The 27235-nt window shown below is 36.1% G+C and overlaps 1 non-coding gene across 1 annotated transcript in view, besides 1 other annotated feature; it reads left to right on the top strand.

Moving 5' to 3' along the window:
- The window catches only part of PGR-AS1 (PGR antisense RNA 1), a 30194-nt gene extending 3385 nt beyond the window's left edge, over window positions 1-26809 (top strand). The window contains exons 3-5 of the transcript NR_073144.1: window positions 550-664; window positions 15682-15771; window positions 26698-26809. This is a non-coding gene — a non-coding RNA (PGR antisense RNA 1). The remainder of the gene's footprint in view (window positions 1-549; window positions 665-15681; window positions 15772-26697) is intronic.
- Window positions 9044-9244: a silencer, noted in NCBI's record as "peak1438 fragment used in MPRA reporter construct". NCBI's record gives its function as "represses an SCP1 promoter by STARR-seq MPRAs in K562 erythroleukemia cells {active_cell/tissue: K562}" and the evidence as "EXISTENCE:reporter gene assay evidence [ECO:0000049][PMID:32103011]".
- Window positions 26810-27235: the final 426 nt, after the last annotated feature.

Raw genomic sequence — 27235 nt, forward strand, 5'->3', positions numbered from 1 at the left:
AAAAAACCACTTTATCAAGATATAGTTGTCATATAATAAGCTGCATATATTTAAATTGTATAATTTGTTGTTAGACCTGTGAAACTAAAATGATAAACATACCCTTTGCCTCCAAAAGTTTCCTCATGCCATTTTTTAAATCCCTTCATACTGTTCTGTCCCATCCCCTTCCCCTAGTACTAATCACCACTTTCTGGCAAGCCACTAATCTGCTTTCTGTCACCAAATATTAGGTTTTTAAAAATATTTATATCTGATTTATTAAACATTAAATTATACATTTGCATATGCCTTTTAGGTCTGTTTGCTTTAGATGTTTTATTAATAGATTTTACTTTTGGGAAACGATTTTGGATTTACAGAAAAATTGAGCAGATAATATAGAGAATGCTCATATATCATTTGTACAATTTTCTCTGTTAGCATTTTAAATTAATAGGGTACATTTGTTACAATTAATGAACTAATACTGATAAATTGTTATTAACTAATATTCATAGTTTATTTAGATTTTCTTCATTTTCACTTAATGTCCTTTTTCCTTTCCAGGATTCCATCCAGGACACCACATTTAATTGTTATGATGTCTTGTGCTCCTCTTGGCTGTGAGAGTTTCTCAGATTTTCCTTGTATTTGATGACCTTGACAGTCCTTAGGAGTACTGGTGAGGTATATTGCAAGATGCCCTTCTATTGGGATTTGATGTATCCTCATGAGTAGACTAGGGTTTTGGGTTTTGGCGGGGTGGAAATCAAAGAGGTAATGTACTGTATTTATTACATCATATGAAGGGTACATATTGTCAACATGACTTATGACTGTTAATGTTGTTCTCCATCACCTGGCTGAAGTAGTGTTTGTCAGGTTTCTCCATTGCATAGTTACTCTTTTTTCCCTCTTTGCATACTCTGTACTCTTTGGAAGGAAATCATTATGAGTCACTTAAGGAAGTGTGGGGGAGTAGGGAGTTATGCTAGCCCTCCTTTGGAGTGGAGTATCTACATAATTTATTTGGAATTCTGTGAGGAAGATTTGCTTCTTCTCCCCCATTTACTTCTTTATTCAGTCTTTTCTTTGTATGGATTCATGAATACTTTGTTGCTCAAATTTTTCCAGTTTTTGGCACTGGGGGCTTTTTCAGTTGACTCTTGTGCTCCTTGACCCACTCTCTGTATTGTGTGTATGTGTGTGTATGTGTGGACTTTCCTACTTTCTGGTATTACAAGATGCTACAGACTCATCAGACTCATCTTGTATATTTCCTGCCCCAGTCGTAGAATCAGCCATTTATCCAAGGAAGTTTGAGACTTTTTATTTGAAACTGGTATAGAAATGAAGATCTGGGTGCCAAATAAATTAGGTTTTATTTCTTAGAATTGTATATAATATAGTGTATCTTTTTTTCATTTGGTTTCTCTCACTCAGCATAATTATTTTGAGATTCAGCTAAATTATAGTATGTATCAATAGTTAATTCTTTTTATTCTTTTTATTTATATACTATAGTTTGTTTATCCATTTAACTGTGGATAAATATCTGAGTTGTTTCCAATTTTTTTGGTATTATAAATAGAGCTACTATGAAAATGTTGTACAAGTCTTTGTATGAACATGTGTTTTCATTTTTTCTGGGTAAATACCTAGCAGTGAAATGGCTGGATAAATTAGTAGGTGCTGTGATATGAGTGTTTGTGTTCTCCCCAAATCTGTGTGTCAAAACCCAATCACCAATGTGATAGTCTTAGTAGGAGGAGGTGTTGGGGAGTGATTAGGTCATGGAGCACTGCCCTGCCCCTTCTACCATGTGAGTACACAATAAGAAGTTGCCATCTAGGAGCTACAAAGCAGGTCTTCACCAGACATTGAATCTGTCACCTTTATTGTGGACTCCCAGCCTCCTGAACTGTGAGAAATAAGTTTCTGCTGTTTATAAGCTACCTAGTTCATGGTATTTTGTTATAGCAGCCCAAATGGACCAAGACAATACATGTACATTTAACCGTCAAACAATTTTCCAAAGTGATTGTATCATTTTACATTTCCACCCAGTATATTAGAGTTCTAATTCTTCCAAAAGCTGGACAACAACTGATATAGTCAGCATTTTTAATTTTACCAATTCTAACAAGTAGATAGTGGTATCTCATTATGGTTTCAATGTGCATTTCATTAATGACTAATGATGTTGATCATGTTTTCATGTGCTTATTTGTGATATTTATATATTCCTCTTCTGTGTGTCTGTGTCTGTTCAAATCTTTTGTTTGCTTTTTTTTAAAAAATTGAATTGTTTTGTTATTGTTGAATTTTCAGAGTTCTTTATGAATTCTGTTAGAAGTCCATTGTCATATATGGGATTTGAAAGTAGTTTTTTCTAGCCTGTGGCTTGTCTTTAAGTTCTCTTAACAGGATCTTTTGAAGAGCAGATGTTTTTAATATTGATAAAGCCTCTTTATTTACATTTTTATGAATTATGCTTTTGGTGTCATAACTGAATATTCCTTGCTAAACCCAAGGTCATAAATGTTTTCTGTCATGTTTTCTTTTGGCTTTATAGTTTTAGGTTTTACATTTATATCTGTGATACATTTTAAAGTTACTTTTTAATATGGTATAAGGTCTAGATCAAAATTCACTTTTTTGCATGTGGATATCCAGTTGTTTCAGCGCCATTTGCTGAAAAGAATACCCCTTCACTAATTGCCTTTGCACCTTTGTTGAGAATTAGTTATTCAAATATGTGGAGATCTGTTTCTGTACCCTCCATTCCATTTAACTGTATTATTGGACAGTTTTTATGTCAATACATTTTCTTGATTGATGTAGCTGTAATTTTTTAAGCTGTTATTTTTTAAATCCCTCTGTATAAATGATAGCATTCTTCCTCTAACCTTCCAGCCCTGGGGGTGAGGAGGGGCAGCCCACAGCTGTTTGAGGGAAGAGACAGGATCGAAGGTGTGCTCTGAAGCTACAGATTGCATGAGAGGCAACCCATAAAGTTTCTAAGCAGAGTGGTAACAGTGGCCCCCCACTTCTGTTTCTGAACTACAGCTCTCAGCGTGTTGGTGACTTTGAACCCCCTCCCCAGAAATGGAAATGCCAAAATGGAAGAGCCCTCAGCCACCTAGCTCCCTTCCCAGTAGGACAGAGTTAAAGGCTAGACCATCTTCCCTCCTGGGTGGAGCCCCCCTTCCCCCCACGGATACTTAATGTACTAGTGCTCCAACTTTATTCTTCTTTTTCAAAATTGTTTTGTCTAGGTCATTTGCATTTTCATGTAAATGTTAGAAACAGTTTGTTAATATCTGCAAAAAAAACCCTTCTGCAATGTTGATTAGGATTGAGCTGAAATTATAGATGAATTTGGAGAGAACTGGCTTCTCACTAAAATTAAGTCTTCCAACCCATACAGGTAATATATCTCTCCTTCTCTCAGCAATGTTTTCAAGCTTTCGGTGTACAGGTCTTTCACATCTTTTGTCAGATTTCTCTCCAATTATTTCATATTTTTGCTGGTATTTTGGATGATGTATATATTAGCTTTCCATTGCTGAGTCAGGAAGTACCACAAACTTACTAGCTTGAAAGAGCACTCAGTTATTATCTTACAGTTTCCATGGGTCAGGAGTCTGGGCATCGGTTGGATGGATCCATTGCTTAGGGCTCACATGGCTGCAATCAGTGGATTAGCCAACACTGCGTTGTCATCTATGGCTTAGGGTGCCCATCTAGACTTATTCAGGTGACTGGCAGGCAGTGTTCAGTTCCTGGCAGCTGTAGAACTCATGTGACTTTCATCTTCTTTGAGGTCAGCAGGAAACAATTTTACTCATGCTTTTTAAGGGTTTCTGCCTGATTAAGTCAGACCCTCCCAGATGATGTCCATACCCATATTATCAAAACTGATCTGGGATTTTTTTTTTTTTTTTTTTTTTTTTTTGCAGAGTCTCATTCTGTTGCCCAGGATGGAGTGCAGTGGCATGATCTCAGCTCATTGCAACCTCAAACTCCTGGGCTCAAGCAATCTTCCTGCTTCAGTCTCCCAAGTAGCTAGGACTATAGGCATGTACCACTGTGCTTGGCAAATTTTTATTTCTTATTTTTTTTTATGGAGATAGGGTCAGTCTTGCTGTGTTGCCCTGGCAGCTCCCAGACTCCTGGGTTCAAGTGATCCTCCCCACTCAGCTTCCCAAAGTGCGGGGATATGCAGGCATGAGCCACCTCACCTGACCTGATTTGGGATCTTAATTACATCTTCACATTTCCTTTTGCTGTAAATGTAACATTATCCACAGAAGTGACACCGATCATATTGATAGTCAAGTCCACATTCAAGGAGAGGCAATTATACAAATACTGTACAACGGGGGGCAGGAATTTTGGAGACCATTTTATAATTATACTGAATTTCTATATTGTGCATTCTTAGTGTTTACACAATTGATCTTTAGCTGGAGTAATGAGGTTGGGAATCCTTGCCAGTTTTTTGATTTTAGGAAGAAACCATTCAGTCTTTTAACATTAAACATGATGTTTGCTGCAGGTTTTTCATAGATACCCCTTCTCAGGTTGAAGAAATTCCCTTCTATTCTGAGTTTGCTGAAAATTTTATTAAGGGTAAATGTAGGTTTTTGCCGAATGTTATTTCAGCATCCATTGAGATAATCATACAGTTTTTCTTTTTTAATTGGTTAATATGGTGAATGACAGTACTTGAGCTTTGAATGTTAAATGAACCTTGTATTCTTTGGCTAAATCCCACTTCATCATAATGTATTACTTTCATATATTGCATTTTGATTTGTTAAAAGCTTGTTTAGAAGTTTAAAATTTCTACTCATTAGGAACACTGGCCTGTTGGTTTCGTTTCTTGTAATGACTTTATCTGATTTTGGTATCATGAATTCCACTGTATACATAATATATTTTCTTTCTTTTTTTGAGATGGAATCTCACTCTGTTGCCCAGACTGGAGTGCAGTGGTGCAATCTCAGCCTACTGCAACCTCCGCCTCCTAGGTTCAAATGATTCTTGTGCCTCAGCCTTCCGAGTAGCTGGGACTACAGGCGCATGCCACCATACCCAGCTAATTTTTTTTTTTCTTAGTAGAGACGGGGTTTCACCATGTTGGCCAGGCTGGTCTTGAACTCCTGACGTCAGGCTCAGGTGATCCGCCCACCTTGACCTCTCAAAGTGCTGGGATTACAGGTATGAGCCACTGTGCCCAGCCTACATGGTATATTTTCATATTAATAGAATAAAATAAAAGAATACAATGATAGGTATAGTTTTCACAGATAAATGTATTTTGGCACAAGCTGCTTTTTGGTGTTGGCTCTCCACTATGACAGTGAGCATAGCATGCAAAGAAAGTCCTGAAGCTTCCTTAAACTTGAAAAGATGATTCAGTTTTGTCACGTTTACTTTTCAGTTTTTATAGAGAACTAAGGAATCATTAATTCATTTTTACAAACACCTGCCTATACTATGTCATTAAACAGCTTGCTTTGTATGTTATTTTCCAAGTTGTACTGCAGTTTCTGCACTGTCATATATAATGTTCATAAAACTTCACGACATATGTATTATTATCTCCATTTTGCAGATGAGGAAATTGAAGCTTGCTGTCTTAGAGATAGTTGTTAGGAGAGCCAGAACTCACTACTAGGGCTTCTGATATCAAATCTAGTGTGATTTTTATTTTAAATATTGTGTTTCTTTATTTTTTACAGTACCAAGTGTTGGATAGTTGACAAGGTTCTTGAAATAATGTAGAAACATTTAGTTGCTCTGAGGACCCAGAAATACAAACACATTCAGTAGGGCATATTGGGCCACCCAGACCTATGACTTGGTTAGTTGGAAATTTTTATTGTCTATACAAGTTTGAGAAATAGGATTTGATATCTGTGGTTCTAGCTTGAGGCATTTCTTCTATATTTACATAGGGCTAATTGCAGGTGTAACTTGGGACTTGATGGATACTACAAGAGAAGGAGTATACAAAGGTCACTTCTCTGACCTTCCTGGTGCTCCCTCGGTTTCTGAATTCACTGCCCCAGTACAACCACTGGGTTACTAAGGCCCTTCCACAGATGTACTGAATAACCTGCAAAGTATACCTGATTTTTATACCCATGTCAGATAGTATATATTTTGCCTGAAGTAACAGGATACTCAACAAAAAGTGAGTTATATAATAGATGTTTATTATCCCTCATAACAAGAAGTCTGGAGGAAAGTAGTTGTAGGGTTGGTTAATCATTGGCTCAGTAATAGTCTCACAGTCCCAGACTCCCTGCCTTTTCAGTGAGCTAACCTCAGCATCCAAAGATGGCTACTAAAGCTGCAGGCATCAGAGCCTCACATAACCTCATACAGAATTAGGAATAAGGAAAATTTCTCTTGGCATTATTTTTTCAAATCAGGGGGAAAAATTCTTACCCAGAAGCCCACTCCATAGACATCCTATCAAAACATATTGGCTAGAACTGAGTCATCTGTCCACCACTAAACAAGTTACTCAAACAAGAATTTGATTAGACTAACCATGGTTCATCTCCTGCAGCTGTGTCCACTGCTCTGCGTCCTTTGCTATCAATATGTGAACACAACTGGGGTTTAGTTAGAAAGAAGTAAGAGTAGGGAGATGGCTGTTGGGAATTCAACAAATAGTGTCTGACATTATACCAAGATCTTATTTCCCTCAGAGTCCTAAGTGATACTTAATCTAAACTGAGAAAGAAATTCACACTAATGTATGAATGAATTTAATAGCCCACTTATTTTTATAAATGTAATCTTTTCATATATTTATCCTGATTATTTTTTATACATGCATATGTACATATATATTGGCAATTCTATTTTACATGATATTTCACAATAACTATCTACTCCAAATATCCCTTTAGATGCCTTGAATTAGTCTTCAACCTTATGCACTAATTGCTGATGGCTATGGCTCTCATTTCTTTGGTTCTACAGTTTAGCATATAGTTGTTCAGAGTTTACGCATAGTTTCATTTGTTACACTTTTGTGTCCATGGGACTATATACACTTAACTAGACCTGGCTTGTATTGCAGTTTGGAAATACTTTTAATTTTTAATTTTGTTGTCTAGTTTTTTCTCTTTAATGTAATATAGCTTTTAGGGATTTTTTTTATATTACCATTAAAAGTTTATAGGCTGGGCACGGTGGCTCACACCTGCAATCCCAGCACTTTGGGAGGCCAAGGCGGGCGGATCACGAGGTCAGGAGATCCAGACTATCCTGGCTAACACGGTGAAACCCCGTCTCTACTAAATGTACAAAAAATTAGCCGGGTGTGGTGGCGGGCACCTGTAGTCCCAGCTACTCGGGAGGCTGAGGCAGGAGAACGGCGCGAACCCAGGAAACGGAGCTTGCAGTGGGCCGAGATCGTGCCACTGCACTCCAGCCTGGGCGACAGAGCAAGACTCCATCTCAAAAAAAAAAAAAAAAAAAGTTTACATAGAATATTTTAGGATAAGGAAAGATTGGCAAATGTAAGTACTATAGATAAAAATCTGCCATAATCTGTAGTTTATATGGTTAATATGAATGATACATTTTGTGCAATTTAGAGGAAAGGTATCATGATACTGGGCAGGAGTATGAAGGTCAAGAACTGGAAGGTAATTCCTCTACTACATTCCACAATCAAATCTTTTGAAGCAGGAGTCATAAATACCAGCTGTTTATCTTAACATATATATATTTTTTAAGGTGAAGCAAGTTTGTTAAGAGAGTAAAGGAATAAAAGAATAGCTATTCCATAGGCAGATCAGCCCCCAAGGGCTGCTGGTTGCCTGTTTTTATGGTTATTTCTTGATTATATGCTAAACAAGGGGTGGATTATTCATGAGTTTTCTAGAAAAGGGGTGGGTAATTCCTGGAGCTGAGGGTTCCTCCCCTTTTTAGACCATATAGGGTAACTTCTGGATGTTGCCATGGCATCTGTAAACTGTCATGGCACTGGTGGGAGTGTCTTTTAACATGCTAATGCATTATAATTAGTGAATAATGAGCAGAGAGGATGACCACAGGTCACTCTTGTCACCATCTTGGTTTAGGTGGGTTTTGGCCAGTTTCTTTACTGCAAACTGTTTTATCAGCAAGGTCTTTGTGAACTATATCTGTGCTGACCTCCTGTCTCTTTCTGTGACTTACAATGACTAACTGCCTGGAAATGTAGCCCAGTAGATCTCAGCCTTATTTTACCCAGTCCCTATTCAAGATAGAGTCACTCTGGTTCAAATGCCTCTGACATATCCCCCCTCTCTTTTATAAGAGAACCCTTAATCCTAAGGGTTGCAGAAGTATAAAGATCCACTTTCTGTAACTTCTTCATGCTGAATAGGGGCGATGATATTCCTGCCTAAGTATTAGGGTCTTTTGAATTTCAGTGTAGAGAGGAGAGGCCATTCATAACTCTGAGTTCTGACAAAAGGTGACTTTTGGAAGATGAATAAGTGTTTAATTTAAGAAAACATTCAGTAAGCTTATCCTGCATTCCTACACAAAGAGTACAACAGCAATATATTTCACAACAGTAAAACAAAATAAGTGAAATTATCCCAAGTAAACTAAATAAGAAGGCTTTCCATGAACTGGGCAACTGGTGGAACCAAGCTGATATGGGGTTGATAGCTGATTCTAATGTGTGCCCAGAATTAGGATATTGATTCATATTTATACATTACCCATCCTTCTTGTTTTTCCTGAGCTGCAGTCAGAGATCACTGGCTGGTTCATGGTAATAAGCAAGGTCAGCCTAAATTGCAGGAAAAAAAAAAAAACAACTGATAAGACTAGAATATAATAATAAGTATACCATAGTTCTTGAAACATAATTTTTTTCTCTCTCTCGTCTTCCATTTTTACTAAAGACAAATGATGGTAGTCGAATTTGCTTTATTATGCTTTATTTGTATAAAGTGCAGCAAGAATAATTATTTTTCACAAGGCTTGTAAAATTGGCTTTGATGGAACTCTCTTCCATAAGGAATTTCAGATAAGACCTTTTCTTAAAGCTGAGCTCAGCCGTGGGTTTGTACCCTCCACTACCTATGAGTTGGGTAAATTCCTCTCCTCTTGAGGTCCAAAGATAACTTGGGGCTCCTGGGTCTGTCAGAAAGTGACATTCTTTACTTACCACAGTTCAGGAACCTTGCACAGGGACAGGGTAGACAAGGTATGAAGCCAGTTTTCCCAAGGGGCTTTTATTGGCTCTGTAAGTCAAGTTTTATTTCTCAAAGAAAAGCATAACATTCAAGTCAAAGCCTTGGTAAAATAACCATTGTCTCCAACTGTGTCCTGTTACAAATGAAAACAGATTTATTGTACTTATGGAAATAACTATATTGCCATAAGTCAATAATACTTACAAATAGTTTCTAAATTATGGAGAAATCAGGTAGAGAGAAACAAGTATGGTCCAAATTTTGTTCACAGGAATATACTTTACTCAAGTGTTAAAAGTTGTAAATAGCTTTTAAAAAAAGCTTCCTTGACTCTGAAAAACAAAGCAAAGGATCAACAACATTTTAAGCAAAATGTCACATAAATTAATTCAGTCTTCTGTTACTTCATTCCATACAGTTAACTCCTGTCCTGCTTGGTAGTCAGGGACATTTCAGCTCTCCCTGACTCCTGAAAGTTTTTTTTCTCTATCCTAATGTCACACAGTCTCCAAAGTTATTAGAAACCTGCATTCAAGAACACCTGTTAGAGTCCTGTAGTTGATTATAAACCACCTTTTAAAGAGGATTAAAACAAGACAACAATTATCTGTGTATGATAAAAAGTTTTAGTACAGCCACTATTAAAGCCACAATTGACTGGGAATTTTGATTACTTCTGTGGCATACAACAGTTTTACATAACAATTGTAATTATTAATAACATACTAAGTCATATGAGAATTATAGGAGTTTCTCATAATTTTGGAACACATACCACTAACACATTTTTACAAATACAACCCAAAGAAAGCCAAACACCGTTTCATATTTGACAATGCTTTCTGTATGATTTTTATACCAAATAAGCCAAATGTCACTTTTGGAGTTTAGGTGACCTAATACCTAAAAAATTAATTAGGTCAGAAAATCACATACTTTATAATTTGATTTTGGAAAGTTTGTAAAATATCAAAGATTTAAGACACTTGATATTATAAAATAGAATTCCAGGTTACCGTAAGTCATTCATTTAGTCAAAATCATAACTTAAAATTTTTGAAAAGAGAAAAACCTTTACTCATTAATAGAGGGAAGACAGCTTTTCCAACAATCTTTTTTCTTTTCTGTCTTTTTCCTACAGTTTATTCAAAAAGGCAGACAAAAATCTTTCATTCCCTAATTTGTCTAGGAGGAAGGAAAGGAATATAATACTGTTATGATAATTTTGATAAAAAAGGAACAAATGCTATGTAAAATAGTGGTATCTTTACAAGCTTAAACACCAGAAATAATACTTTCTCATGAGGTTAACAAGATCAATAGTAATTTTATAGTCGAGTTTAAAATAAAATGATAATTTTAAGTTTAAAACTATAACGTGAGACAAAAAAGGCTTTCTCTTACTTTTACAGTTATACTACATATAAGAACTATTACTATTGAGAAGGACATTGGATTCCCAATAAAAAGAAAAGGAGTGTATACATACAAATGGAAAATCATACGTTAAGGAAAATATAAGATGCACGATTAAGTGCAAAAAAAAAAAAATCCCCCTATCACCAGACCATTTCTGGAGCTGCAGGCCTTTTTCAGTTGTCAGCCAAACTCATTCCTTACAAAAAGCCTTCATTTTTTCATTATTCTGACTTAAACTAAAAACTACTCAATTCATTGAAAATTAGAAAATTTTGGCTTAGCAAAAGCCATTATCTTTTTACAATACCAGTTATTGTGAAAGCACAATATAACAGCATAGTTAAATTTAGAAAATATAAAACATGGTAGTAGTTCTCATCTTAAATAGCTACCTGTATAGAACAATTCCAGTAAACAGGAATAAAAGAGAAGGAAGGGTCTGAAGCTCGCATAGTGATTTATATTTTATTGCCACAGGAGAATCTACTTCCCTTTCTTTTCTCTGACATTCTCTTTCTATGTTGCTAATTCTCAATCTGGTTCATGCATTTTTGTTGCTATTCCACATTAAGGTGGTCTTCAACTCTAGTTTCCTAGATGGTTATCTTCAGTTGACTGCCAATTTTCATTCTACACCATATGTCTCTCTTCCTAAAGTCTTGATCATTATTTGTGAAAGAATGAGAGAAACAGTTTATTGGTAAAAACTGTAATTACAAAAACAAAGTTTGACATGGTATAGGCTTTGAAATAAGTTTTTGATAATAAAAAAATTTTAAGAATTAAAACTCCTGTAATCACAGAAATAACCGCAGATGTTTTCTTTAGGCCTTAACCTTAGTGTACATGAAGAAATGGTGATGAAAACTAGTTATTAAGAAGACTTGGCCAGGCATGGTGGCTCATTCCTGTAATCCCAGCACTTTGGGAGGCCGAGGCGGGCGGATCACTTGAGGTCAGGAGTTCGAGACCAGCCTGGCCAACATGGTGAAACCCTGTTTCTACTAAAAATACAAAAATTAGCCAGGCATGGTGGCACATGCCTGTAGTCCCAGCTACTTGGGAAGCTGAGGCAGGAGAATGCCTTGAACCCAGGAGGTGGAGGTTGCAATGAGCCAAGGTCGCGCCATTACACTCTAGCCTGGGTGACAGAGCGAGACTCCATTTAAAAAAAAAAAAAAAAGATGACTTAATTTTAATTTTAGTATTCAAATAATGTATCACTTAAAGATGGTTGTATGTTTTTCTTCCTCCTCTTTCTTCCTTAAATCAATTTAATCATGTTACCTTTACTAGTGCTTCCCATTGTATTTTTTAATATGCTTCTACATTTATTTGTTCTCAGCTTTATCTTAATATTCTTCCTTTCCTACTTATACAAACAGGTCAATCATAGAGCATTTTCTATTTTTCACATTTCTTCCCATTCTCTTTCCACTTATAATATTCTATGCAGTGATTCTTATTCCAATGTTGGTTTTAATTTTAGGTTTTCTTTGGTTAAAATATCTAATGCCAACTGCTGTAGATTTCATCACCAAATGTGGTTTCTTTAGTATTTTTCAAAAGGTGAAAAATCCTCACTAAGTTCTTACATGTTCAAAGTTCTTGGTCTTCTGTCTTTATACTTGCAGAAGTGCTTGACTGTGTATGAAATCTGGGGACTTTCTTTTGTTGTGTATCTTGTAGGTGTTGCTCCTCTGTTTCCTGAATGTGGAGAAGACTCATGCCATTGTGTTTTTCTTTCCATTACAAGTTTCTTAAGGAGCCTTTCTTCATCACTGAAGTTTAATAGACTTTCTAAGATAAATATTATTGTTGACTCTTCTGAATCAGATTGTGATATGATTTTGATGTGCTGTTTCAATATGTAGATTAAATTGTTTTATTATAGGAAAGTATTTCCTTTTTAAATGATAGCTTAAAATATTCATCGTTTTCCATTGTTATTTTCTTTTTTGGAGACTACATTTATGAAATTATTAGGTCTCTTCCGCCTGTGTTATATGTCTATTTTCTTTCTATTTTTAAAGTTTTCTTTATTTCTGTTTCTTTTTTCTTCTTTTTGCTGTTTATTTCCTATAATTACTTATGTGTCAATTTCCCACAATTTACGTAACAAATTACCACAAGTTTGATGGCTTAAAACAACAGAAATATATTCTCCGATAGTGCTAGAGACTAGAAGTTCAAAATCAAAGTGTTGGCAAGGTCATGCTCTATCTGAAGGTTCTAGGGACGAATCCATTTTTGCTTCTTCGTAGCTTCTAGTGATTCTCAGAAATCCTTGGCATTCTTTGACTTTTATCTGCATATATCCCATTTCTACCTTCATTTTTACATGGCCTTTTTCTCTGTGTGTCTCTCTGTGTCCTCTTCTCTTATATGGGTACCAGTCATTAGATATAGGGCTCAGCCTAATCCAGTATGATTTCATCTCAAGATCCTTGACTAATTACATTTGCAAAGACCTTATAAGGTCAAATTCACAGGTATGAAAGCTTAGGATTTGAACATATCTTTTAGGGAGACATAATTCAACCCACTACACAGGGTGTCTATTTTATTTGTTCTCATTTAATTTTTTAAAACTTTTTTTTTTTAGATTCAGGGAGGCACATGTGTTTATTCATTACATAGGTATATTGCATAGCGGTAAGGATTGGGCTTCTAGTGTACCCATCACCCACATATTGAACATTGTACCCAATAGATAGTTTTTCAATCCTCTTGCACTACATTTTGGAGTCCCCAGAGTCTTTTTTCTCCAACTTTATGTCCTTGTGTACTCATTGTTAATGTTTTTATTTGGAAATAATTTCAAACTTACTGAAAAATTTCAAGAAGGGTACAAAAGCTCCCATATATCCTTCATCCAGATTTTCCAACATCTTATCCAATTTACTTTACTGTTTGCTCTATCAAATCTAATCTGTCTAATCTATTATATAATATCTATTCATCATTTACAGATACAGATTGAAATACATTTTTTTCTGGACCATTTGGGAGTAAGTTGCACAAATCATACTGCTTTACTCGTAACTACTTCAGTGTGAACAAGGACATTTTCTTATATTAACATAGTATGGTTATCACCCTCAGGAAACTTGACACTGAAACAATACATTAATCTCTCATTTTTCTAATTTTTTCAATTGATCAAATAAAATTCCTTATAGCATTTTTTTTCCCTCCAGTTCAGGATCATGTGTTACATTTAGTTGTCATGTCTTTTTAATCTCCTTTAATCTAAAATAGCTCCTTAGCTTTTCTTAGTTTTTCATGACTTTGACATTTCGAAATATGCCGGTTCTTTTAAAACAATAGACTAATCCTCATTTTTGTTTAGTCTGTTGTTTCTTTATGATTACATTCAAGTTAAGCTCTCTGGTTGGAGTACTGTATTAGTGATTTTGTGTCCTTCTGAAGACATTACATACATACCTCTGCCTGGGAGGCAGAGGTTTCAGTGAGCCGAGACCTCGCCACTGCACTCCAGCTGGGTGACAGAGTGAGAGACTCTATTTTCCCCTCACCCCCCCGCGAAAAAAAAAAGAAAGAAATCATGAGTTCTTACTGATACTCTCAAATTCAGTTGATTGCCATAGAGGTGTTCTTGCCTTTCCCCATTCTGTTTGTATCTCACTTCTTCCATAGGGAAAGATAACATTGATTCCCAGCAACATCAAAGTATTTACTCTCTTATACATAAAATAATCTCCTAATTATTTTATGCATACCACTATAAAAATACCTACACAAAATTCCAATTTAGTTTGCTCTTCTCCCCTTCATCCCTACCCACAGACTGAAGCGCTATAGTTAAATATTGTGTTTTAAAAAAATTTCTCTCCAGGATGATTATGTTATTCATTTCTAATAGAGTTGTGTACATTTGTTTCAATTTGCTCTAAGTATTAGATATTTTAATAGTTTGTTTCTCAACTCCTTGGTGATTTATTTTTATAGAAGATGTAGAACATTAACATACTTCCAAAAGTCATAACTACACAAAAAGTTATCCTCAGTAAATTATGATGCCCTCTCCTGTCCCCTTCACTTACTCCCAATTTCATTTTTTTCTAGTTAATGCCCCTTTTCTTTTTGTTTACACATTCAGATGTGTTTGCTTTTTTATTTCTTTTTATTTCTCACACAAAAGGTAGCTCTTTTTATTTACTATATTCCAGAAATAATTTTATATCAGGCCAGAGAGATCTTCTTCATTAATATTTACAGCCACATAGTACTCTGTTGTCTGCATATAAACAATAGTTTATTCAAACAATATCTTATGTTTGAACATTTAAGTAGTTTCTAATATTTTACAAGAAAGAACTATCTCGTGCATATGTATTTTCATATTCTTGGAAATGTACGTTCAAGGTAAATTCAAGAGGTAGGATTGCTAGGTATGAAAGATAAATGAATGTGTGGTTTTGTTAAGTACCAAATTCTCCTCCATAGAAGTTGTACTGTTTTACACTCCTACCAGCAATGCAAGAGAGTGCTTGTTTCCCTGCAGTTTCATCAACAAAGTGAATTTTAGCTTTTGACATTTTGCCAGTCTGATAGATGAGATATGATATCCTTTTATGTGCTCATATTTTCATATTTTAAGTGGTCTTTATATCATTATGAATTTCCTATTCTTTTGCCCATTTTATGATTTTTTGGAGTTTTTCTTTCAATTATTAAAATCTTTTTATATTTAGAATATTTATATTTTATATATTTATTTGTCATATATGTTGTAAATTTTTTTCTGGCAAATTATTTATATTCCCAATTTCTTGTCATTTCTTGCCATGAAAAATACTTTTTAAAAATTTTGTGTAGTTCAGTTTGTTAATTTAAAAAATTACATCTGGAATTTTTTTTTAAGAGACAGGGCCTCACTCTGTGCAATGGCACAATCGTAGCTCACTGTAACCTCAAACTCCTAGGCTCAAGGGATCCCCCTGCTCAGCCTCCTGAGTAGCTAGGACTATACATAGGTGCCACTATGCCTGGTTAATTGTTACTAACTTTTTTTTTTTTTTTTTTTTTGCAGAGATGGGGGTTTCACGATATTGCCCAGGCTGGTCCCAAACTCCTGGCCTCAAGCTATCCTCCTGCCTTGACGTTCGAAAGCACTGAGATTGTAGGTGTAAACCACTATGCCCAGCCTGGAATTTAAGATATAATTGCAAAGTCTTTTGCTACCCTAACTTTATAAAGGAATTTACCCCTGTTTTTTTATCTAGTATTCACAAAATTTAAAACCATTTAGACCTTTAATTCGTTTGGAGCTTATTCTTATTTATGGCATGAGGAATGGATTTAAGTTTATCTTTTCCAAATGACTTTTCAGTTGTCCCAACACCCTTAAATATAAAGTCCATTTCTGCCCCCAGTGATTTGAGATACTGTCTTTGTCATATATTAGATTTTCCATAAGTCATATGGTTTACTTTTGTACTCTCTATTCTGTTCCATTGGTCTTTCTATTCGTATAGTAGTCCGCATTGTTTTAATTACAAAGGTTTTATAATATGTTTTAATATCTTATGGGGCTAGAACATCTTCAAAACTATTCTATTTTAGGTTTTGCTCACTATCTCTTCTTGTCTATTTTTTATGTGAGCTTTAGTATGAACTTACCTCGCTCTATAAAAAAAATTGTTGGTATTTTTATTGGAATTGAATACTTCATAAATAAAATTATATATTAATTTATATGAAAATAAATACATGGCAAATTAAGTTAGCAAGAAATGAAATCTTGATGATATTGATAAGTTCTAACCAAGAACAAAATATGTCTTTCCATTTGTTTTGTTTTTTTTCTTATATTACGAAATTTAATGAGAAACAAAGTCTTTTTGTAGGCCCGATTTCATGTTTTTTCCTACATTAGTCCAGTACCTAGACTAGTTTATTACTCCATATGCCCCATTCTTTTCCTTTTTTTTTTTTTTAATTATACTTTAAGTTTTAGGGTACATGTGCACAACGTGCAGGTTACATATGTATACATGTGCCATGTTGGTGTGCTGCACCCATTAACTCGTCATTTAACATTAGGTATATCTCCTAATGCTATCCCTCCCCCCACCCCACAACAGGCCCTGGTGTGTGATGTTCCCCTTCCCGTGTCCATGTGTTCTCATTGTTCAATTCCCACCTATGAGTGAGAACATGCAGTGTTTGGTTTTTTGTCCTTGCGATAGTTTTCTGAGAATAATGGTTTCCAGCTTCATCCATGTCCCTACAAAGGACATGAACTCATCATTTTTTATGGCTGCATAGTATTCCATGGTATATATATGCCACATTTTCTTAATCCAGTCTATCATTGTTGGACATTTGGCTTGGTTCCAAGTCTTTGCTATTGTGAATAGTGCCACAATAAACATACATGTGCATGTGTCTTTATAGCGGCATGATTTATAATCCTTTGGGTATATACCCAGTAATGGGATGGCTGGGTCAAATGGTATTTCTAGTTCTAGATCCTGAGGAATCGCCACACTGACTTCCACAATGGTTGAACTAGTTGACAGTCCCACCAACAGTGTAAAAGTGTTCCTATTTCTCCACATCCTCTCTAGCACCTGTTGTTTCCTGACTTTTTAATGATTGCCATTCTAACTGGTGTGAGATGGTATCTCATTGTGGTTTTGATTTGTATTTCTCTGATGGCCAGTGATGATGAGCATTTTTTCATGTGTTTGTTGGCTGCATAAATGTCTTCTTTTGAGAAGTGTCTGTTCATATCTTTTGCCCACTTTTTGATGGGGTTGTTTGTTTTTTTCTTGTAAATTTGTTTGAGTTCATTGTAGATTCTGGATATTAGCCCTTTGTCAGATGAGTAGATTGCAGAAATTTTCTCCCATTCTGTAGGTTGCCTGTTCACTCTGATGGTAGTTTCTTTTGCTGTGCAGAAGCTCTTTAGTTTAATTAGATCCCATTTGTCAATTTTGGCTTTTGTTGCCATTGCTTTTGGTGTTTGGGCAAAGACATGAAGTCCTTGCCCATGCCTGTTTCCTGAATGGTATTGCCTAGGTTTTCTTCTAGGGTTTTTATGGTTTTCAGTCTAACATGTAAGTCTTTAGTACATCTTGAATTAACTTTTGTGTAAGATGTAAGGAAGGGATCCAGTTTCAGCATTCTACATATGGCTAGCCAGTTTTCCCAGCACCATTTATTAAATAGGGAATCCTTTCCCCATTTCTTGTTTTTGTCAGGTTTGTCAAAGATCAGATGGTTGTAGATATGCAGCATTATTTCTGAGGGCTCTGTTCTGTTCCATTGATCTATATCTCTGTTTTGGTACCAGTACCATGCTGTTTTGGTTACTGTAGCCTTGTAGTATAGTTTGAAGTCAGGTAGCGTGATGCCTCCAGCTTTGTTCTTTTGGCTTAGGATTGACTTGGCGATGCAGGCTCTTTTTTGGTTCCATATGAACTTGAAAGTAGTTTTTTTCCAATTCTGTGAAGAAAGTCATTGGTAACTTGATGGGGATGGCATTGAATCTATAAATTACCTTGGGCAGTATGGCCATTTTCACGATATTAATTCTTCCTACCCATGAGCATGGAATGTTCTTCCATTTGTTTGTATCCTCTTTTATTTCGTTGAGCAGTGGTTTGTAGTTCTCCTTGAAGAGATCCTTCACATCCCTTGTAAGTTGGATTCCTAGGTATTTTATTCTCTTTGAAGCAATTATGAATGGGAGTTCACTCACGATTTGGCTGTCTGTTTGTCTATTATTGGTGTATAAGAGTGCTTGTGATTTTTGCATATTGATTTTGTATCCTGAGACTTTGCTGAAGTTGCTTATCAGCTTAAGGATATTTTGGTCTGGAAGTCAAATTGTCCCTGTTTGCAGATGACATGATTGTATATCTAGAAAACCCCGTCATCTTTCCATTTGTTAACATGTTGTTCCATAAGTTAAGACTACATATGTGTTTTTAACCAGTGTTTTATAGTTTTCTTTGTATAGCTTTGAACATTTGAAGTTTATTCTAAGTGTTTTATGTTTTCTGTTGCTATGTAAGTGTAATTTTCTTTTTATTTTTATCTCCTCATGGCTATTTGTGTATACTAATTCTACTGATATTTGAGTGTTAATTTCATAACCTACTACTTTGATGAATTCTATTGAGTTAGTAGGATTTTCCAAGTATACCACCATATTATCTGCATATAAAGATGATTTTATTTCATCTTCTGTAATTTTTATGCCTCTTCTATCTTTTCTAAATGCAGTGACTTATGTGTCTAGTATTATGCTAAGTAGTAGAGATAATCATCCTTGCCTTATTTCTGAACTTAATTGGAGTTCCTGTGGTGTTTCCTCATTGGGTCCAATGCTGCTTTAGGATTGTGAGAGATATATATATGTATATGTATATATACACATATGTAACAATGTTATATGCTGATGATAAGTTATATGTAATATGTATATATGTGTGTGTGCATGTGTGTGTATGTGTGTGTGTGTGTGTGTGTGTATATATATATATATATATATATGCCCACACACTAAGTATTCATAGCTTCTTATTGTCTCTGAATGTTCTCTGAATGGGAACATACACAGACACAGTATAAAATATATACACACAGTAATATATGTACATATATGTAATATATGTACATATGTACATATATATACAGATACACATGTATTACTAAGTGTTTATAGCTTTTTACTGTCTTGAATTTTTCATTGGGAATGAGTTTGAATTTTGTCAAAGGCTTTTTCATATTTATTTTTCATCAAATTTAGTCTTGATTTCTGAAATTTTTTTTTTGGCCTTTTTTCTATTTTTAATCCTTGAGTTTTTCAAGTTCTTGATTCATCTACACTTATTGTTCTATCATAAGCCACTGTTTTCTGGCCATCTCTTCCCTGAGTTTTTGTATTTCTGCTTTGTGGTTTTCTTTCTTCAATATTTGTCCAAAGCTTAGTGGTTTACAATTTTCATATGATCAGTGTCAACATTGCTGATTTTTAAAATAAAACTATTTTGTTATTTCCAATATTTATTTATTTATTTATTGACATGCAATTGTATATATTTATGGGTATAATTTTATGTTTTACTATATATATATTGTATAATGATTGAATCAGGGTATTTCGCGTATCCATTGCTTCACGCATTTATCATTTCTTTGCGGTGAGGCCATTCAAAAGCCTCTCTTCTAGCTATTTTGTAATATACAATACCTTAATATTACCATAATTACCCTACTGTGCAATAGAATACCAGAATTTTTTTAAAATTCTTATTTTAAGTTCTGTGATACTATGTGCAGAACATGCAGGCTTGTTACATAGGTAATCTTGTACCATGGTGGTTTGCTGCACCTATCAACGCATCACCTAGGTTTTAAGCCCAGCATACATTAGCTATTTATCCTTATGCTCTCCCTACCCCCACCTGACTCCCACCCGCTGACAGGCCCTGGTGTGCATTGTTTCCCTCCCTGTGTCCATGAGTTTTCATTGTTCAACTCCCACTCAGGAGTGAGAACATGAAGTAGAACACCAGGATTTATTTCTCTTATCTAATTGTAACTTTGTACCCATTGAGTATCCTCTTCCCATCCTCCCCTTTCCCCTCCTCTCTCCAGTTTCTGGTGAACATTCTACTATCTGCTTCTGTGATATCAATGAATTTTTAAAATTCTGCATATGAGTGAGATTATGTGGTATTTATCTTTCTGTGTCTAACTTATTTCTCTTAACATAATGTCCTCCAGGTCCATCCGTGTTGTCACAAATTACAGGATTTCATTCTTTATTATGGCTGAATAGTATTCCATTCTGTATATATGCCACATTTTCTTTATCGATTCATGTGTTATTGGACACTTGGGTTGATTACAAATCTTGGTTATTACAGATAGTGCTGCAATAAACACAAGAGTGTGGATATCTCTTCAATATGCTGGTTTCATTTCCTTTGGATATATACCAATAAGTGGGTTTGCTGAATCATATGGGAGTTCTGTTTTTAATTTTTTCAGGAGCCCCTATACTGTTTTTCATAGCAGCTCTACTAATTTATAATCCCATCAATGGTGTCTATGTGTTCCTTCTTCTCTATTCTTCCACAACACTTGTTTTCTGTTGTCTTTTTGATAATCACCATTCTAACTATAGTGAGTTGGTATTTTATTATGGTTTTGATTTGCTTTCCCCTGATAAACTCTTTTCCCATTTTTAAAATACAAAATTGTTGTGTAGATGCAGTGATTATTCTTTTTGTTTCTCACACTTGATTTAATTTTATATTTATGAACCAGCTGTTTACAAGAATCTCACGTTGGGGAAAGGGGAAAGACCAGGGTAACCTGGCACCTCTATAACTCAAAGGCTGTCACCTCTGTTACAGTGACAGAGCTAGGTTTTATTTCATTTTCTCTACTACTTTTTGAATCTATCTTGGCTCAGAGGAGATTCTACTGCCATACCTAAACTTCTTCAGGTTCTAATCTACCTGTATCACCAAGGAAGAGATCATGCCTTCTGGAAAATCTCCCTTACATATAGACGATTTTTAAAATTATGTTATTATCTACTAGCCCTGGGTCACTTCTGAGCTCTCTTTCCCTGCCTCCAAGTGTGCTCCCCAGCCTTGCTCATAGCAGTTCCCATTCAGAGTATAGTCCTCTCCTGGGTATGTTTATGTGGTGATAGTTGTCACACTATTCTCCCATTGTCCCCTCCTTCACCTTGAGTTTTATCATATCTCATTTCAGTTTTCTGCAAGATGTCGGTAACAATTTTGCTACAGGCAGCATTTACACAAAATTTGTAGCTTGGAGGTATTTATTCTGTGTTCTGCCTTTGTCGACCATTGAATGTGCATTTTTTTTCTGATTATTCTTATTTCCCTATGGCTTTTTGGAGAAGTGGAATAATTCATAACTTAGTTGCCACCAAGTTTTTCCTGGAAGTTGAAACATATTTTACAATATTTTCTCTATTTTACTTGTCATATGACTAGTTATTTAAATTCTTTGTATGGCTGTTTACTGATTTTCAAAGTGGATTACTTAGTATCTAGTAAGGTTGATGCAGGAGCACATTGAGATACTAAAGTTGGTATAATATGTGGCATGTGGTAGGTGTTTATTATGGACTGAATTGTGTGCTACCCCACCCAATTCATATGTTGAAGCATTAACCCCCAATTTGACTATATATGGAGGTAGGGCCTTTAAGGAGGCAGTAAGATTGATTGAGGTTATAAGGATGGAGCCTAATCTGATATGACTGCTGTCGTTATAAAAAGAGAAAAGATAGATTTCTCTCTCTCTCTCTCTCTCTCTCTCTCTCTCTCTCTCTCTCTTTTGCTCTCTTCCCCCCTCTACATACATGTGAACCCAGAGGAAGGACTGGGAGGGCACACTAAGAAGGCAGCCATCTGCAAGCCAGGAAGAGAGGCCTCACCAGAAACCAACTCTGGCACCTTGACCTCAGACTTCCAGCCTGCAGAACAGTGACAAAATAAATCTTGTCATTTAAGCTACCCAGTCTTTGGTATTTTATTATGTCATCCCATGCAGACTGTATTAGTCAGGGTTCTCTAGAGGGACAGAACTAATAGGATGGGTATATATATAAAGGGGAGTTTACCAAATAGTATTAACTCACATGATACAAGGTCCCACAATAGTCTGCCTGCAAGCTAAGGAGCAAGGAAGCCAGTCTGAGTCCCAAAGCTGAAGAACTTGGAGTCCGAAGGGCAGGAAGCTTCCAGCATGGGAGAAAGATGTAGGTAGGCTGAGGTCTTTTCCTGTTTTTTTTTGCCTGCTTTATATCCTGGCTGCACTGGCAACTGATTAGATGGTGCCCACCCAGATTAAGGGTGGATCTGCCTTTTCCAGCCCACTGACTCAAATGTTAATCTCCTTTGGCAACACCCTCATAGACACACCCAGGATCAATACTTTGCACCCCTCAATCCCATCAAGTTGACACTCAGTGTTAACCATCACACAGGCTAATAGAGTGTTCATTAGATTGTAACTGCTAATAATAACAGTTGGTGGTGATGGTGATGATGATCCTAGAAGTCCAGGCCTATGGATACTTACTGATAAGGAATTGAAAGACCTGCTTTGAAAACGGAGTTTTTAGGAGGGATATAAATAAACTTTCTGCTCTGTTACTCTCCCCTTTCCTTTTATTAACTGGATTTAGAAATACTTTTATTTGGTAAAAGAAATGTTATAAATCTTCATACATATGGCTAATATTTCTGGCTAATTACCATGAAGCAGAATAACCATTAATCATATTATTAGAGATACCCAATTAATTTCATTTTGTGCTTGATTTTAGTACTAAATTTAAGCAGTTTATGCCACCTCACTTAGGTCAACTCCAATTATGATACATGTCTTTCTAGTATTAAATGCAAAAACAATGAGATGTCTGTAGCTCCCTTTATTATTACTTGCATTTCTTCATCTTTCTTTTTTTTTTGGAATACACAATTTATTATTTTGATACTGAATGAATAAAATTGTTCTTTCTTTCTCACTGGGAGGCCTGCCTTCCAAGCTGCTTTTTTGCCAAAAATATTTACCAGGACTTTCAAAGTCATCTCTTGTTTTCAGTTATTATTCTCTTTTATGACAACTATCTTTGAAGAGATTTGGAAGTTAGTCTATATTTGAAATTACTGTGTGTGTTTTCTGTGTTTATATGTAATTTCAACTTAAAAATCAAAACATCTTCACAATTCCTTTGGTATCTCATTTTAAATAAAAGTATCTTTTTTTTTTTTTTTTTTTTTTTTTTTACTGAAAGTCTAGATTAGATATTACTTCCTCTGTGAAACCTACCTGGACACTACCAGTGCAATCAGAGAAATTTATTGTTGTATCAGAGCACTTTCCATGTTGTGTTGTATTTTGTGTACAGCATATGGCATGTAGTACAGAATTTAATGGTTAAATGTGTCTCCAGTTAGACTCCACGTTTCTTGGGAATATAGACTGTATCTTTTCACATCCTCAGAACCTAGCATTTCTCTATGTCGATTTCATTATTGTCAGATCATACTTTGCATGCTTTCAATTCTTATAAATTTAAGTTTTCTGATTCAGAATATGGTCTGTGCTGGTGAATGTTCCATCTGTGGTTTAAAAGAATGTGTATTGTGCTGTTTGGGGGTGTGAGGCTCTATAGCATTTCAGTTGGTTGATGGTGATGTTCACTTCATCTATATCCTTGCTATTTTTCTGTCTACTTCTATTTATTACTGAGGGAGAAGTTCTGAAGGCTCCAACTGTATTGTGAATTTGTCTATTTTTCCTCAGTTCTATTAGTTTTGGCTTCATGTATTTGCAAACACTGTTTGATGCATATACATTCAGAATTATTGTATTTTCTTGATCAAATGCCCCTTATATTATTATGTAATTTTCTTCTTATTCTGGTAATTTTCTTTGCTGTGAAGCCTACTTTGAACAATATCAATATATCCATTTCAAGGTTCTTTTCATTAGTGAGTGCGTAGTATATCTTTTTTTGTCCTTTTGCTATTTTTAACTGAATAGATGTACCTAGTTTTGGAGTACATGTAATAATTTAATACATTCATATAATTTACAGTGATCAAATCAGTATACTTGATATATGTATCACCTTAAATATTTTTCTTTTCTTTATGCTAAAACCATTTTATAGTTTACAATACTGTTAGATGACAAATAACTAGAAGACAAGAATTTGTGCAATACCTTATTGTAAACTATAGTTACCCTGCTGACCCATCAAACACTAGGTCTTATTTATTCTATCAAACCATATATTTGTACTCATTTGATATGATTTGGCTGTGTCCCCACCAAAATCTCATCTTGAATGTATTTCCCATAATCTTCACATGTTATGTAACTGAAGTAATTGAATCAGAGAGGCAGATACCTTCATGCTGTTCTCATGATAGTGAGTTCTCATGAGATCTGGTGGCTTTATAAGGGGCTTTTCCCCCTTTTACTTGGTACCTCTCACCTGCTGCCATGTGCAGAAGGACGTGTTTGCTTTCCCTTCTGCCATGATTTTAAGTTTCCTGCGGCCTCCCCAGACATGTGGAACTGTGAGTCAATTCAACCTCTTTCCCCTTATAGATTACCCAGTTTTGGATATGTCTTTATTAGCAGCATGAGAATGGACTAATATAGTAAATTGGTACCAGGTAGTGGGGTGCTGCTGTAAAGATACCCAAAATTGTGGAAGCAACTTTGGAACTTGGTAACAGGCATAGGTTGAAACAGTTTGGAGGGCTCAGAGGAAGATAGGAAAATGTGGGAAAGATTGGAATTTCCTAGAGAATTGGCGGGCTCAGAAGACAGGAAGATGTGAAAAGCTTGGAACTTCCTAGAGACTTGTTAAATGGCTTTGACCAAAATGCTGATAGTGATATGGACAATGAAGTCCAGGCTGAGGTGGTCTCAGATGGAGATTAGGAACTTGTTGGGTACTGGAGTAAAGGTCACTCTTGCTATGCAAAGAAACTGGCAGTATATTACCCTGCCCTAGAGATCTGTGGAACTTTGAACTTGAGAGAGTTGATTTAGGGTATCTAGCAGAAGAAATTTCTAAGCAACAAAGTGTTCAAGAAGTGACTTGTTTGCTGTTAAAAGCATTCATTTTTATGTAGTCACAAAGATATGGTTTGGAATTATAACTTATGTTTAAAAGGGAAGCAGAGCATTAACATTTGGAAAATTTGCAGCCTGAGGATGCAATACAAAAGAAAAACCCATTTTCTAAGGAGAAATTCAAGCTGGCTGCAGAAATTTGCATGAGTAATGAGGAACCAAATTTTAATCACCAGGACAATGGGGAAAATGTCTCCAGGGCATGTCAGAGACCCTCACAGCAGCCCCTCCCATCACAGGCCTGGAAGCCTAGGAGGGAACAATGGTTTCTTGAGCTGGGCCCAGGGCCCCCCTGCTCTATGCCACCTCAGGACATGGTGCCCTGAATCCCAACTGCTTCAGCTCCAGCTGTGGCTAAAGTGGGCCAGTGTACATCTCAGGCCTTTGCTTCAGAGGGTACAAGCCCCTAGCCTTGGCGGCTTACATGTGGTGTTGGGCATGCAAGTGCACAGAAGTCAAGAATTGAGGTTTGGGAACCTCTGCCTAGATTTGAGAGGATGTATGGAAATGCCTGGATGTCCAGGCACAAGTTTGCTGTAGGGGTGGAGCCCTCATGGAGAACCTCTGCTAGGGTAGTGTGGAAGGCAAATATGGGAAGCTAAAAGGGTGAACGGTCCAGTGGGGCTCCCCACACAGAGCCCCCACTGGAGCACAGCCTGGTGGAGCTGTGAGAAGACAGCCACCATCCTCCAGACCCCAGAATGGTAGCTCCACCAACAGTGCACCTGGAAAAGCTATAGACACTCAATGCCAGCCATGAAAGCAGCCAGGAGAGGGGCTGTACTCTGGAAAGCCACTGGGACAGAGCTGCCAAATCTGTGGGAGTCCACCTCTTGCATCAGCATGAACTGGATGTGAGACATAGAGTCAAAGGAGATCATTTTGGAACTTTAAGGTTTAATGACTGCCCTATTGGACTTCAGACTTGCATGGGGCCTGTAGCTCCTTTCTTTTGGTCAGTTTCTCCAATTTGGAATGGGTGTGTTTACTTAATGGTCCCATTGTATCTAGGAAGTAACTAACTTGCTTTTGATTTTACAGGCTCATAGGTGGAAGGGACTTGTCTCAGATGAGACTTTGGACTTGGACTTTTGAGTTAATGCTGGAATGAGTTAAGACTTTGGGGACTGTTGGAAGGGCACGATTGTGTTTTCAAATGTGAAATCATGACATTTAGGAGGGGCCAGGGGCAGAATGATATAGTTTGGCTGTGTCCCCACCCAAATCTCATCTTGAATTGTAGTTCTCATAATCCCCATGGGTCATGGGAGGGACCCAGTGGGAGGTAATTGAATCATGGAGACAATTACCCTCATGCTCTTCTTATGATAGTGAGTTCTCATGATATCTGATGGTTTTATAATGAACTTTTATTCCTTTTGCTCAGTTCCTCTCTGTCCTGCCGCCATGTGAAGAAAGATGTGTTTGCTTCCCCTTCCACCGTGATTGTAATTTTCCTGCAGCCTCCCCAGCCAAGCTGAACTGTGAGTCAATTAAACCTCTTTCTTTTATAAATTACCCAGTCTCAGGTATGTCTTTGTTAGCAGCATGAGAATGGACTAATACACCATTCATCAACTTCTCTTCATTCCTCCCTCCCCCTTACCTTTCCTTGCCTCTATAACCACCAATTTATTCTCTATTTTCATGAGATTCACTCTTAGCTTCCACATATGACTGAGATCATGCAATGTTTCTTTTTTATGGCTGAATAATACTTCTTGGTGTATATGTACAACATTTTCTTTATCCTTTTGTCCATTGATGGCACTTAGGTTGCTTCTGTATTTTAGCTATTTAGAGTAGTGCTGCAGTAACCATGGGAGTGCAGATGTCTTTCCCATATATTGGTTTCTTTTCTTTTGGCTATATATACAGTAGTGGAATTACTGGATCATATGACAATTCTATTTTTCATTTTTTGA

The sequence above is a fragment of the Homo sapiens genome, chromosome 11 (genome assembly GCF_000001405.40).
Source record: "Homo sapiens chromosome 11, GRCh38.p14 Primary Assembly".
Lineage (NCBI taxonomy): Eukaryota > Metazoa > Chordata > Mammalia > Primates > Hominidae > Homo > Homo sapiens.